The 15,981-nt window shown below is 38.1% G+C and overlaps 1 long non-coding RNA gene across 1 annotated transcript in view, besides 1 other annotated feature; it reads right to left on the minus strand.

The window, feature by feature from the left end:
- Positions 1-1,768: 1,768 nt before the first annotated feature.
- The window catches only part of LINC02741 (long intergenic non-protein coding RNA 2741), a 125,191-nt gene continuing 110,978 nt past the window's right edge, over positions 1,769-15,981 (minus strand). The window contains exons 3-4 of the long non-coding RNA XR_001748196.2: positions 3,529-3,619; positions 1,769-2,068 (exon numbers count right to left, since the gene is read on the minus strand). This is a non-coding gene — a long non-coding RNA (long intergenic non-protein coding RNA 2741). The remainder of the gene's footprint in view (positions 2,069-3,528; positions 3,620-15,981) is intronic.
- Positions 14,061-14,206: a silencer, noted in NCBI's record as "fragment chr11:41623188-41623333 (GRCh37/hg19 assembly coordinates)". NCBI's record gives its function as "represses an EF-1alpha promoter that drives an FKBP-Casp9 reporter gene in an ReSE screen in K562 erythroleukemia cells {active_cell/tissue: K562}" and the evidence as "EXISTENCE:reporter gene assay evidence [ECO:0000049][PMID:32094911]".

A 15,981-nucleotide genomic window follows, 5' to 3' on the forward strand; every position in this document is an offset into this window, starting at 1 on the left:
CTGTCTGAAAAAAAAAATAAAGCAATTAACCTAGAGCAGCCAGGATTCTCATGTCTTATGATCTGATGATGTGGCTTGACTACTCACCTATAACCCCAGGTTGAACCTTATGCTCCCTGCCCAACAAGCTTCTAGAGACAATTGAGTCCTTCTAATCTGCACTTAGGGTAAAGGGGAACTTCTTGTTCTGGAATTTCCCCTAATCCATATGAGTCTGTTCGTATTCACCGAGTTTTGATGGAGTGGGATGATAAATGATTTGTGGAAGGTTTACATTCTGACCTCAGCTATGGACTAGAAAATACTGATTTCAAACTCAGAGCTCAAGAACAACCCTATTATTTTACCATTACCATAGCTCCTCCTGAAACAATGAACACAATTTATTCAATAGGTGGACTAACAGTGAGAAAACCAAGAGAAAGAAAATATTAAGAGGAAAAATTCATTGACTTAAGAGTTCACAAATAATTTGTGTATATATTTACTATGTATATCTCTTTGTAACAAAGGAGCATCAAACTTTCTTTCAGCCCAGAAATGCACTACTTTCTAACTGCTACTGCAACAAAGTACCACAACCTTAACGAAGGTGGCTTACACAACAGAAATGTGTTCTTTCACAGCTCTGGAGGCTGGAAGTCTAAAACCAAGGTGTTGGTAAAGTTGGTTCTTTCTTGAGGCTATGAGAAAAGTCTGCTTTATACTATTTTCTCCCAGATTCTGCTGGTTTGCTGGCAATCTTTGGTTTTCTGTGACTTATGATGCATTACCCTGAACTCTGCCTCTATCTTCACATGGTCGTCTACCTGTGTGTTTGCTTCTGTTTCCAAAATTCTCATTTTTTAAAAAACATAGTTGTATTGGATTAGAGCCCACTATAATGATTAACTTGATCACCTGCAAGCCTCTATTTCCAAATCATGTCACATTCACAGGCCCTGGGTGTTAGGACCTCAACAACTTTTGTGGGGACAGAAATCAACACATAACAATTTTTTTTTCAAAAGGCATTTTACTCAGAAACTCAGCATATCAAAGAGATAAAATAGAGCAGATCTGGTTAAGTGAAGGTAATGGGGCAAAGCTCAGAGGATCCTGGCTTCGACTCACCTCCTAAAAAACTCACTGAAATGTTCCTGAGATACCTGCATCCTCTTCAGAGCATAGTTTTAAAATGACTATTCATACTTTATTCCATTGCAGGGTAACTATAGCTAATAACAATATATTGTATATTTCAAAATAGCTGGTAGAATTTTGAATGTTATCACAACAACATGATAAATGTTTAAAGTATGCTAATTACCCTGATTTAATTGTTATATAATGTATACATGCATGGAAACATCACACTGTATTCCTTAAATATGTATAATTATTATGTGTGAATTATAAATAAAATACAACTAAAACTTAATCAAATAAAATGACTATTCCACAGCTTCATTTTTAAATACCTATGTAGTATATCCTCATATGGGAAAAACATAATTTATTTAATAATCTGATATTCATAGATATTTCCATTTTTAAACCTTTCCCTATTGCAAACAATATTGTGCTTAACACCCATGTAGCTAAGTTTTTGTGTACATATTTCGTAATTCCTTTAGCAATATTTTCTAAAAATGAAAATGTTTTTAAATACTTACATATTAGCACATTATGCTAAATTGCTTCCCCTCCAAAAACAGTTGTCCCAATTTATTTTCTTTTCAGCTTTATATGATATACTTTTAGGTTTCGCTGAACCTCATCACAGAGCATTGAGTTTCAAGGGAGGGTTGCTACTATAGACTGAATGTGTCATACCAAAATTAACATGCTGAAATTCTAACCTGCAGTATGATGATATTAGAATGTAGGACCTTCTGGATGTTGTGTTATGAGAATGGAGCCCTCAGGAACGGGAATAGTGTCCTTATGAAAAAGAGGCACCAGAAAGGTAACCCCACTCCTGAGAACACAGGGAGAACACACGGAGAAGATGGTCATCTATGAAGCAGGCTTTCCAGGGACAATCAATCTGTCAGCATCTTGACCTTGGACATCCCAGCCTCCAGAACTGTGAGAAATAAATGTTTGTTTTTTCAGTCACGCAGTCTATGATATTTTTGTCACACAGCCTGAATGAACAAAAAGGGTTAGTTTAGCTTAAATGATTTTTAACTGGAAGAAAATTACTGGCTCTGAAAGGAAGCTTAGAATACTCCTTCCCCAAGTCAGAGCTCATGCTCCCTGAAAGAAAGTAGAAATGAGGCACCGAAGTGAGCAAGATTAGTCAAGGAAACTTCTAACTATAGGGCCTATTTTTTCCACCTGAGGCATCATATAAATGTCCTAGTGCTGCCATATCAAATTACCACAAACTAGGTGGCCTTAAGAAAAATTAATTGCCTCACAACTCTGGAGGCCAGATGTCCAAAATCAGGGCATCTACAGACACATGCTCCCTCTGAGGATTGTAGGAAAATATCTTTCCTTGTGCCTTCCTAGCTTTTGCTTGTTGCCAGTAATCCTTGGCATTTTTTGGCTTGCAGTTGAATCACTGCAATCTCCGCCTTGGTCATCAAGTGACCTATTTCCCTCTGTCATCTGGGTTTTCAAATCTCAGTCTGTTTATAAGGACACCATTAATTAGATGTAGGATGACTCATTTTTAGCTTGATTACATCTGCAAATATCCTACTTCCAAATAAGGTCATATTCACAGATACCAGGGTTAGGACTTCAACATATCTTTCTGGGCAGGGGGCACAAATTATTCCACATCAGACACCAGCTGAATTCTGAGACAAAGGCGGGTGCCTAGGATTTAAGGTGTTCCAAAGAGAAGTGCGAGGGAACCCCTACGATGAACTTCACCTTCTTCAGTTTCACACAAGACGTAACTTCTTTGTGGTAACTGATGTCTCTCCAAATGACATCCTGGATTGGAACCATATTCTGGGAAATGGAGCCACCTGCCACTGCCACTCTGTGCATCATGAAGATAAACACATACCTTTTTGTTTAAATTCACCTAATCACAGAGATTAATTGTATCATGGGATATGACAGGACTCTGCAGTTTCCTCTGTGCAATTGCTGGGCTATTTCAGTTGTGTTAAGAGGCTCTGCCTAGAGAGAAAGGTGGCATGTGCTCATTAAGATAAGTGCCACATTTAATAACAGACTCAGAAACACAGATTTAAGTACATTCTGTGCAGGAGCAAATCATATTTCCTGCATCTTTCAATGCAAATATAGATCCTAAATGAGAGTCAAGATAATACTGTTAGAGTAAACCATCCCCAAATTCTTCATTTCATTAATCCTATATCTTTCTTTCCTGCATACAAGTTTGGTGTTGCCTACAGTTGATAAAGAGAAGTCAAATAATTCCAGCATTTTTATTTATCAACAAGCATTTATTGAACAATAGCTATGTGCCAGTCCTCATTCCAGATGCTTGGGATACAGAAGAGAACGGACACAAACAAACAGAAAACAGCAAACAAAGTTTCCAGCCTATGTGATGCTTACACTCTACTTGTCTTTGCTGAGTAGTCTTTTATTTTTCTGTTTCTGCTATCAATTTTGGATATTGCCCACCAGTGGTTAATTGACTTTTTACCTGCAATCAAAATGCATAATGGTTACAATGTTTTATAGTGTGAGAATCATTTAATATCTTTTTGTTTCTGTGTGTGAATCTCAAAAGTTACATGGCTTCTAACAAAAATAAAATGGCTAATGGAAATAAAAAACACCTTTGTCTTTTTCTACTATTCTCCAAGACACAATGAAATGCTCTCTTTCTCAAGTGTAGCTTTAAAAACATCTCTCCCAACTATTTCAGCAACTCCCTATTTAAAGTATCAACAGTAGTGAAAATATTTATAATGTTGGAGTTTCATTTCTACACATTTTTTACTTTTCCAGTCAGAAAGAAAGAAAAAGACTGAGACAGACTACTGTGTATCTATTACAGTGTGACATTTGATTTAATATTTTATTTTACCCTATTTTACCATTATTCTGAACCCCATTTCTCTAGCATCAATTGTAAACTCTGTAAAGTCAAGAAAATATGTCATCAGCTATTTCTGTATCCTCCACTGAAAGAACAGCCTCAAACATTCAGTAGATACTCAATAAATACTGAAACAGGAGAGTTCCCCAGCTTGCCTCTCAGGGTGTGTGACAGAGATACGGCTCTCTGTTCAGCTGCAGTGAGCTCAAACCCCTTATGGGAGGGGGAGCATGCTGACGAGCAGGTGCAGAAGCTGGTGAGTGCTTTGGGCTCTGGCTCCATGGTAGTGCCTAGAGGTGAGTGCCTGTGACCCCAGTGTTACAAAGCCCTTTTAGCTCTGCCATCCTCAGATGGCTGAAGTGTTAACCAGCTCAATGACTCCTCTGCCTTTCTGCAAGGGCAGTGGGCCAATGTGATAGCTTTCTGTGTCCTGAGCTCTTGTCCAGTGTCCTAGAAGAATCAGGTCATATATAGACTTGAAGGATGGATGCAGGGGTTTTATTGAGTGGTGGAGGTGGCTCTCAGTGGGATGGATGAGGAGCTGGAAGGGGGATGGAGTGGGAAGGTGATCTTTCCCTGGAGTTCATCTGTCCAGTGGCCAAACTCCTCTCCAACCTCCCCCCAGCTGAACTCCTCTTGGTGTTCAGATGTTCCTTCTCTTCTTTCTCTGCCATGCTGTTCTGCTGTTTGTCTTGTTGTCTCCTCATCTCCTCATTTCCTCATCTCCTTCTCTGCTCATCTGCCTCTGGATCCTGGGTTTTGAGGTTTATATGGGTACGAACCCCAAATGGGGAGCCAAAAAACAACTTTTGGAGCATGAAAACAGGAATGTCTGTCTTCATTTAGGGCCACAGGTATCCAGGCTTGAAGATGGGGCCTTTGCCAAAGAACATCCATCTTCTACCCAGTATTTCCCTGTCTCCTGTCCATATCAATACTTTTGGGAAATATTTTCTATTTTTATATTCTTACAATTCTATAATTATAATTATGCATATTTTATCAAATGCAATTATGCAGTTTTTGTAATGAACCCAAAACTATGAATTTGAAATATCTACTGCTATAGTTTGAATGTTTGTGTCCTCTTCAAAAATCATGTTGAAACTTAAACCCCAATGTAATAGTATTAAAAGGTGGGACCTTTATGTGATGATTAAGTCACAAAGGTGGAGCCCTCCTGGATAGGATTAGCAATGTTATAAAATGGCTGGAGGAAACTAGCTAGGCCCTTTTTGCTGTTTTACTTTCTGCCATGTGAAGACACAATGTTCATCCCTCCTGCACGAGACAGTGACAAGATTCCATTCTGGAAGCAGAAAACAGCCATCAGCAGACACCAAATCTACTGGCAACTTGATCCTGAATTGCCCAGCCTGAAGAACTGGGAGAAAGAAACTTCTATTCTTTATAAGTTACCCATTCTCAGGTACTTTGTTATAGAAGCACAAATGGACTAAGGCACTTACCAAACATTCTCTTCTCTTTCCATGTAAAACACACAATATTATGACTTTTTATAAGGTAATGAAGTATCACAGAATTTTAGGCCTTTAAGGAAATTTCCAGTAGCCAAATTTTAACCCCACTCCATTACATTAAATGTTTCCATCTCCTGCTACAAACTTCTATATGAACTGTCCCTGCCATCATACTTACATCACAAGTTGCTCTAATTGTTAAATGTATTTTTCTTAAGCAAAATCAAAATTCTCCTCCATATAACTAATACTGATGAGCCTTTGTCAGGCATGGTAAGTAGTTTCACCTCATGTGGTCAATAGACTTTAAGGTGGTTCCTATAATCCCTCCTTTCTGGTATTTACTCCCTTGTAATCCCCTTCCTTTAGGCATGTTGTGACCTATGACTTGCTTCTAACCAATAGAATATGGCAAAAGTGACAAATACATGTTATTATGTGTATGTTATTACATTACATAAGATTGGTACCACATCTTGCATGGAGAGTCTCTTTCCTTTGCTGCCTTTGAGTAAAGAAGCTGCCAATGAAACAGGAAATTTCCCTGATGCTCCTCTCTGGATGTGTGACAGGGATGTGGCTCATCTGTATGGCCCCCATGCCTGCTCAAACTTCTTATGAGAGGGGACACATGAAGACAGGCAGGTGCAGGAGCTGGGGCAAGTGCCCCTGGGCTCTGATCCCATGGCAGCTTCCAGGGCTGGGAAGCTGCAACTCCCAAAGCCCAAGTGGGCATGTTTCACAGTTTGCAATTTTAGCCTTGCTGTCCACAGGTGACTTAAGTGTTAACCAGCCCAGTGCCCTCTTGGTACCCAGGTCCTTCTCTGACATCCAGGAAGAATTAGGTTCCACATGGACTTGAGGATGATGAATGCATGGGTTTTATTTCATGGTAAAGCTGGCTCTCAGCAGGATGGATGGGGAGCTGGGAAGAGGATGGAGTGGGAAGATGATCTTCCCCTGGAGTTCAGCCGTCCAGTGGCCAATCACCTCTCTAACTATCCCCAGCCAAATTCCTCTTGGCGTTCAAATGCTCCTTCTCTTCTCTCCTTCTCTGCCACACTGTTCTGCCTTTCTTCTGCTCTTCTCTTCATCTCCTTGTTTGCTTCTGGAACCTGGGGTCTGGTATTTATATGGGTACAGAATAGAGGGGCAGAGTGCACCAAAAGGCAACTTTCGGGCATGAAAACAGGAATGCCTGTTTCCATTTAGTGCAGCAGGTTTCCAGGCTTGAGGGTGGGGCCTTTGCCAGGGAACCTCGCTCTTCCACCCAGTATTTTCCTGTATCCTGTTCATATCACCACATTGGAGGCCCCACATGGCAGAGAACTGAGAACTGGCCTTCAATCATCATCAAGAAGTTGAGGACCTCAGTCCAACAATCCATAAGAAACAGATTGCTGCCAACAACTACATGACCTTGGAAGCAAATTTTTCACCAGTGGAACCTCTGCTGAGAATCCAGCCCCAGCCAACATCTGGATTGAAGCCTTGTGAGAGCCTGAAGAAGATACAGCTGAGTTGTGTTCAGGCTCCTGAGCCACAGAAGCTGTGTGATAATATATGTGTTGCCATAAGTCACTAAGTTTGTGGTATTAATAATATGGTTACACACCAATAAATAACTAATATACCTCATATGCCAACTCTGAGCATTTACTTAGATGTCCTGGATTACTCAGATTAAGAAAGATTCTGCAGCCACATTTGAACTTTAAGAATAAGTGCCATAAGTAGTGATGTTTGCAGTGAGTCTGGTTATGAGAAGCAGTTGGTTATGAGAAGCAGTACACCTGACATTAATAATTCATCCTACCCTAATATACACTTTGAGACCAGAAAGAACAAGTGAAATTTGTTTCCACACATCAATTCATGTACTCAAGATCAATGCTGTAGGAAAAAAGTTGTAAAGTGCCTGAGGAGGAAAGGTACCTGGGTGACACAGGCTATGTGTAAGTGTTTATCCATATATTGTATGAGGGGTTGTGACTGGAGTAAACTGTTCCAGTCTGAAGGGTACAAATCTTAGTCTAAAGTACTCAGATGTTCCCAGGCTAAAGAAAATAGTGTCTATGTAAGATACACATCCAGTGTTCCCAGGTATAATAATTTTTCAATAGAAGCTGAATATTTCAATTTTATGTGAAATTTTTCACATTTTAAACATTGGCTCATTTGTAAAGGTACAACTACTGTATTTTTTTTTTTTTTTTGAGATAGAGTCTTGCTCTGTTGCCCAGGCTGGAGTGCACTGGTGCCATCTCGGCTCACTACAATTTCTGCCTCCCCAGTTCAAGTGATTCTCATGCCTCAGCCTCCCAAGTAGCTGAGACTACAAGCATGCGCCACCAGGCCTGGCTAATGTTTTTTTTTTTTTCGTATTTTTAGTATAGACGGGGTTTCGCCATGATAGCCAAGCTGGTCACAAACTTCTGGGCTCAAGCAATCTGCCCACCTCAGCCTCCCAAAGTGCTGGGATTACAGACATGAGCCACCGCACCTGGCCTATATTGATTTTTTTTTTTTTTTACTATGTTAGTTGTACTGCTGTGAAGCCACAAGCTTTCAGATATGCCTTTCTCTGCAGAGTTCAGTTTGTCCCATTATGTAATATTGAAGTTATCAATGTCAATTTACTTCTAACTATCTGAAAGGCAATTATGATATAATCACCCATCAATTTAATTTTTCTCCAAGCTTACATAATTAGATGATAGAATGACTATCTAAGGATGAAATGCATGGAATACATAACATTGAGTTAATGACCTTGAAGGCAACACTCTGCCCTCAGTCTTGTGCACACACTTGCAAATCAATGGGAGTTGTTTGTGAGTGTACACAGTTGGTCCAAAGAGTTGCTGAAACAGAAATCATGATATGTACATGGTAGTATATAATCCGTATCAAAGTCCTGCTTTTTCATCAATGGTCGTCAAAATCATTGAGTTTAATGACGTTGTCTGAACAACTCTAAGTAATTGCATCTTCAATCTACCGACAATATTGGTGGATCACAAACTCTGGTATAAACTGTAAGGACCCATAAGCAAAGAACGCATGTTCTTGCACCCAGAAAACTTATAATATAGTGCAGACAATGAATATAAGACATATATCCACTAATATGTTACTGATTTCTCATGCAGGTTAACTCCAAAATAATTTTAGCTGAAAACAACTTCATTCTTTCTCTCATTGTTCCTACGCATTGGTACTGTAGGCTAGTTACTTTTGTCCTCACCATTGAAATATGTGAGCAGTCCCAAATCTTTTCTGGTGTTGAGCTAATAAATAAATTGCACCTTTTCATTGTCATATACACTGGAAATGTATAAATGCCTAATACTGGTAGATCTACTTTTGACCCATCTCCTTTACAAGTTCTTAATGGATGTTATATCACATCACTGTTGAATATGGAAGGACTTGGTACTTACCGTTTTATTGACCTTGTGTCTGCTAAAACCACAGAAAAGGTTGGATTTGGCATCCTATTACTAGTGCAACTGAGGCAAATATAAAGACATACAAAGCTTTGAGGTGAAAATGTATTTTAACTTAGAAGAGGGACTCTATCTCAAATCAACTAGAAAAATAATGAAAGTACACTCTAGAGAGCACTTAGAGTGTACCTTGCATCTATTAATTTTCACAATAATCCTATGAAAATTTAAAACAGAATTTAAAATACCTGAGTAGGATTGGCTATGTTCAAATCCTTGTGTATCACAACTACTGTCTTATCTTAGGAGAGTGTTCATACAGTTTCCTCATCTGTAAAATAGATCCCAACAGTAACAGCACTTGAGTGATTAATCTATGCCAGACACTATCCTGTATTTATGGGAATTGTTTTGTATAAGCTTTTAAGGAAAATACTGCCATTTTTGTTGGTAAGAAAACTTTGCTAAGGAGGAAAATGAAGAGTAAGGTGGATAAGTAAACAGTTGCCAAGATCTCACAGATATTTGAACCTCAGAAGTTTGTTTCTAAAGCCTAAGATGTTAAATATTTTAACATGTTTCTGACCTACTCTGGTTGTGATTAAAATGTAATAATTGTTATAAAGTGACAAGAACATGAAAGGTTCTCCATTAATAGTTGTATTTATAGAAAAATATGGAAAGGATGAAGAATTATTGTAAAGGAGAGGTGACTTCTGATTTATTTCCCATATTATCTTAATCCAAATTGTTTTCTCATTCTAGTACACTGTTGTCTCATCATTAAGATCTCTGTTTTGAGCATTGTATCTTTAGGGACCCCCATGAGTTGGATATTAATAGCCTAAGAAAAAAGCTATTCTTCCAGTTCCATCCACTGTCCCTCTTGGAATTAGAGAATAGCTCTCGGGATTAGAAGAGCCAATACCATGTGGTTGTTCTTAACAGCCATGCTATTTACACTCGATTTCTTTTGGTTTTAATGAGAGGAAACTCCTTTCCAATTTGAACAGCAATTCTCCATGGATCCTGCCTGCAGAGCATGACAGCTACACCTCACTCCAATTACAAATGGAAAGCTAGTTGTCAGTGAAATTTCAGAGAGCTCGCAAGGTTATATTGACATTGAAATTTAAGTTGCTCCTTGGTCTTCCCCCAGACACATGGTCCTTTGGGGAATGCAGAGGTTATGGGTGAGAGGTTATTCTTTTCTGTGTTGTGTCTTATCTGTGATACCAGCACCAATACATGCTGGTCAGACCATAGCCAATGCCTGTGTTCTTTCTTGATAAATTGTAAAATCCTACTTTTCTAAACAAAAAGCTGGTATTTCTCATACAAGCAACATAGCTTGACTAGAAAAGAAAAGTAGAAGGAAAAGTGTAAACATATTATCGTGTGACATGTTCTACAGGTAACAAGAGATTTCTTATGTATACGCTATATGACAAATAAGTTAAAAGTAGAAATTTAAAATGGCAAGATGATTCAAGACGTTCAAACATTGTAACATTACTTGGAATTATGATTGCAAAAAGAGGTATGAAGATATTACCAACGTAAATTCAAAACGTAAAACAATTTTATGGCTGTAGACATTTTAATTGAGGCGATTTAAATACTGGCTGCCTTAAAAATTGGAACAATAGGGATACAATTCCAAAGTATGGTCTCTTTAAGTTACACACATACATCCACACACACTCATGTTTAATGTACAGAAGCTGAGGCAGCTGTGGTGTTGTGGGATAAATCACTGAACTCAGAATTAAAAGACCTTAGTTTGAGAATTATATTTATCCCTTATTATTAGCACTTAGACAAATCATAGAACTATATGTTCCTTGTTTTACAACAAATAGAGACTATAATGTCTACTTTGTTCTCCTTAGAAGTATTTGAGAGGCACTTGGTTAATTGCAATGGCAGTTTCTATATCTTTGCCTCAGAAAATGAGATTATGTCCTTCTGCCCTAAAAGACAGAAGAGGTCAGATATTCATTATAAATTAGGATATTTACTTTTATGAAAAATGTTGAAAAGATAACATTGTATCACATGGGCTTTAAAATGTTATGTAGTCAGAGCAGGTATCCATTAAAATTTCAATAATGGCTGACACTTATGTAGCCCTCATTACCTCACAGTGTTCTCAGATTATTTAATCGGCACCAAAATCCTAGAATGTAGCTTAGCATTATTATTTTCCTTTTTCAGGTTAAGGAAATCAAGTCATGAAAAGATAAAATACTTTGCCCAATATCTTACATAAGACCAGTCATTATATCTTCTTTAGAGTCTCAACTTTTTTTTTTTTTTGCAAACTGTGTATAATAACAGTCCTACATTTTAAGGACTATTTAGTGGCACCTAAATTGTGTGGCACATGTTAAAATTTAATCAGTATTAATTCTTATGCTTATAAAATTAACCTGAGGCTAGATGAGAGGATCTACCAAGGTTTTGAGTTTGGCTGCAACAAACTCATATCTATAATAACAATGGCTTTTAGAAAGATTTTTTTCTCTCATAATAAGGAAACTAGAGACAACCAGTTCAGAATTTATATAAAGTGAGCAACCCAGGATTTTATTATCCTTTCAAAGGGGTCCCTGTCATCTTATGGTCACAAGATGCCTGCTAGGATTCCAGCAATCTAGTTCACATTCCAGGCTGGAGGAAGGGAAAGGGCAAAACTCTAGAGTATCACAGTTTAGATGACCCACTTTTAAGATTTCCCAGAAGTTCAGACCACTGACTATACTTCATTAGTCAAAATTTTGCTGCATGGCCAACATGTATGGTACTATGAATAAAGAGATGTAGAATGATTATTGGAGAAGCATTGAGCAGTTTTTGCCACTGAAGTTTGAAGAAACCAGTTTCAAAGAAAATTGCTAGTCGATACTTTTCTTTAATGTCAGTGGTGTGAATGTTACTCCGAATTTACAAGTTTCCTTAAAAATCAAAAGCAAAATTTATCAAGGACTTAGTTATGCATCTTTATAAGATGAAAACAATATCATTTAAAGTGCACCAATTATAATAAAATTACTAGACATGTTTTCAAAGATCATATATTAAATGAAAAGTCCTGGTCACTTCCAAGATGGCCAAATAGGTACAGCTCCAGTCTGCAGCTTCCAGCGAGATTGACACAGAAGACAGGTGATTTCTGCATTTCCAACTGAGCCTCCACTGGTGATACCCAGGCAAACAGGGTCTGGAGTGAACCTCCAGCAAACTCCAACAGACCTGCAGCTGAGGGATCTGTTAGAGGGAAAACTAACAAACAGAAAGGAATAGCATCAACATCAACAAAAAGGACATCCACACCAAAACCCCATCTGTAGGTCACCAACATCAAAGACCAAAAGTAGATAAAACCACAAAGATGGGGAGAAACCAGAGCAGAAAAGCTGAAAATTCCAAAAACCAGAGCACCTTTTCTCCTCCAAAGGATTGCAGCTCCTCACCAGCAACAGAAAAAAACTGGATGGAGAATGACTTTGACGAGTTGACAGAAGTAGGCTTCAGAGGGTCGGTAATAACAAACTTCTCCAAGCTAAAGGAGCGTGCTCTAACCCATCACGAGGAAGCTAAAAACCTTGAAAAATGGTTAGACGAGTGGCTAACTAGAATAAACAGTGTAGAGAAGACCTTAAATGACCTGATGGAGCTGAAAACCACAGCACGAGAACTTCATGACGCATGCACAAGTTTCAATAGCCAATTTGATTGACTGGAAGAAAGGGTATCAGTGATTGAAGATAAAATTAATGAAATAAAGCAAGAAGACAAGATTAGAGAAAAAAGAATAAAAAGAAATGAACAAAGCCTCCAAGAAATATGGGACTATGTGAAAAGAACAAATCTACATTTGATTGGTGTACCTGAAAGTGATGGGAAGAATGGAACCAAGTTAGAAAACACTCTTCAGGATATTATCCAGGAGAACTTCCCCAACGTAGCAAGGCAGGCCAACATTCAAATTCAGGAAACACAGAGAACGCCACAAAGATACTCCTTGAGAAGAGCAACTCCAAGACATGTAATTGTCAGATTCACCAAGGCTGGAATGAAGAAAAAAAATGTTAAGGGCAGTCAGAGAGAAAGGTTGGGTTACACACAAAGGGAAGCCTACCAGACTAACAGCAGATCTCTCGGCAGAAACCCTACAAGTCAGAAGAGAGTGGAGGCCAATATTCAACATTCCTGAAGAAAAGAATTTTCAACCCAGAATTTCATACCCAGCCAAACTAAGCATCATAAGTGAAGGAGAAATACAATCCTTTACAAACAAGCAAATGCTGAGAAATTTTGTCACCACCAGGCCTGCCTTACAAGAGCTCCTGAAGGAAGCACTAAACATGGAAAGGAACAACCAGTACCAGCTACTGCAAAAACATGCCAAATGGGAAAGACCATTGATGCTATGAAGAAACTGCATCAATTAACAGGAAAAATAACCAGCTAACATCATAATGACAGGATCAAATTCACATATAACAATATTAACCTTAAATATAATGGGCTAAATGCCCCAAGTAAAAGACACAGGCTGGGAAATTTGATAGAGTCAAGACCCATCAGTGTGCTGTATTCAGGAGACCCATCTCATGTGCAGAGACACATATAGCCTTAAAATAAAGAGATGGAGGAAGATCTACCAAGCAAATGGAAAGAAAAAAAAGCAGGGGTTGCAATCCTAGTCTCTGATAAAACAGATTTTAAACCAACAAATATTAAAAGAGATAAAGAAGGCCATTACATAATGGTAAAGGGATCAATTCAACAAGAAGAGCTAACTATCCTAAAGATATATACACCCAATACAGGAGCACCCAGATTCATAAAGCCAGACCTTAGAGACCTACAGAGAGTTAGACTTCTACACAATAAAAATGGGAGACTTTAACACCCCACTGTCAACATTAGACAGATCAATGAGACAGAAGGTTAACAAGGATATCCAGGACTTGAACTCAGCTCTGCACCAAGCTGACCTAATAGACATCTACAGAACTCTCCACCCCAAATCAATGGAATATACATTCTTCTCAGCACCACATCACACTTATTCTAAAATTGACCACATAATTGAAAGTAAAGCACTCCTCAGCAAACGTAAAAAAAAAAAAAAGAAACCACAACAAACTGTCTCTCAGACCACAGTGCAATCAAATTAGAACTCAGGATTAAGAAACTCACTCAAAACTGCATAACTACATGGAAACTGAACAACCTGCTTCTGAATGACTACTCAGCACATAATGAAACGAAGGCAGAAATAAAGATATTCTTTGAAACCAATAAGAACAAAGACACAACATACCAGAATCTCTGGGACACATTTAAAGCAGTGTGTAGAGGGAAATTTATAGCACTAAGTGCCCACAAGAGAAAGCAGAAAAGAACTAAAATTGACACCCTAACATCACAATTAAAATAATTAGAGAAGGAAGAGCAAACAAATTCAAAAGCTAGCAGAAGGCAAGAAATAACTAAGATCAGAGCAGAACTGAAGGAGATAGAGACACAAAAACCTTTCAAAAAATCAAGGAATCCAGAAGCTGGTTTTTTGAATAGATCAACAAAATAGATGGACCACTAGCAAGACTAATAAAGAAGAAAAGAGAGAAGAATCAAATAGATGCAATAAAAAATAATAAATGGGATATCACCGCTGATTCCACAGAAATACAAACCACCATCAGAGAATACTATAAACACCTCTACACATATAAACTAGAAAATCTAGAAGAAATGGATAAATTCTTGGACACATACACCCTCCCAAGACCAAACCAGGAAGAAGTTGAATCTTTGAATAGACAAATAACAGGTTCTGAAATTGAGGCAATAATTAATAGTCTTCCAACCAAAAAAAGTCCAGGACCAAATGGATTCACAGCTGAATTCTACCAGAGGTACAAAGACGAGCTGGTACCATTCCTTCTGAAACTATTCCAATCAATAGAAAAAGAGGGATTCCTCCCTAACTCATTTTATGAGGCCAGCATCATCCTGATACCAAAGCCTGGCAGAGACACAACAACAACAAAAAAAGAATTTTAGACCAGTATCCCTGATGAACATCAATGCAAAAATCCTCAATATAAAACTGACAAACTGAATCCAGCAGCACATCAAAAAGCTTATCTACCATGATCAAGTCAGTTTCATCCCTGGAATGCAAGGCTGGTTCAACATACACAAATCAATAACTGTAATCCATAACATAAACAGAACCAATGACAAAAACCACATGATTATCTCAATAGACGCAGAAAAGGCCTTTCACAAACTCAACAGCCCCTAATTGTAAAAACTCTCAAGAAACTAGGAATTGATGGAATGTATCTCAAAATAATAAGAGCTATTTATGACAAACACACAGTCAAGATCATACTGAATGGGCAAAAACTGGAAGCATTCCCTTTGAAAACTGGCACATGACAAGGATGTCTTCTCTTACCATTCCTATTCAACATAGTGTTTGAAGTTCTGGCCAGGGCAATCAGGCAAGAGAAAGAAATAAAGCATATTCAGTTAGGAAAAGAGGAAGCCAAATTGTCCCCATTTGCAGATAACTTGATTGTATGTTTACAAAACCCCATAGTCTCAGCCCAAAATCTTCTTAAGCTGATAAGCAACTTCACCAAAGTCTCAGGATACAAAATCAATGTGCAAAAATCACAAGCATTCCTATACACCAATAACAGACAAACAGAGAGCCAAATCATGAGTGAACTCCCATTCACAAATGCTACAAAGAGAATAAAATACCTAGGAATCCAACTTAAAAGGGATATGAAGGACCTCTTCAAGGAGAACTACAAACCACTGCTCAACGAAATAAAAGAGGACAGAAACAAATGGAAGAATGTTCCATGCTCATGGATAGGAATAATCAATATTGTGAAAATGGCCATACTGCCCAAAGTAATTTATAGATTCAATGTTATTCCCATCAAGCTACCAAAGACTTTCTTCACAGAATTGGAAAAAACTACTTTAAAGTTCATATGGA

Source organism: Homo sapiens, chromosome 11, assembly GCF_000001405.40.
Source record: "Homo sapiens chromosome 11, GRCh38.p14 Primary Assembly".
Taxonomy (NCBI): Eukaryota; Metazoa; Chordata; class Mammalia; order Primates; family Hominidae; genus Homo; species Homo sapiens.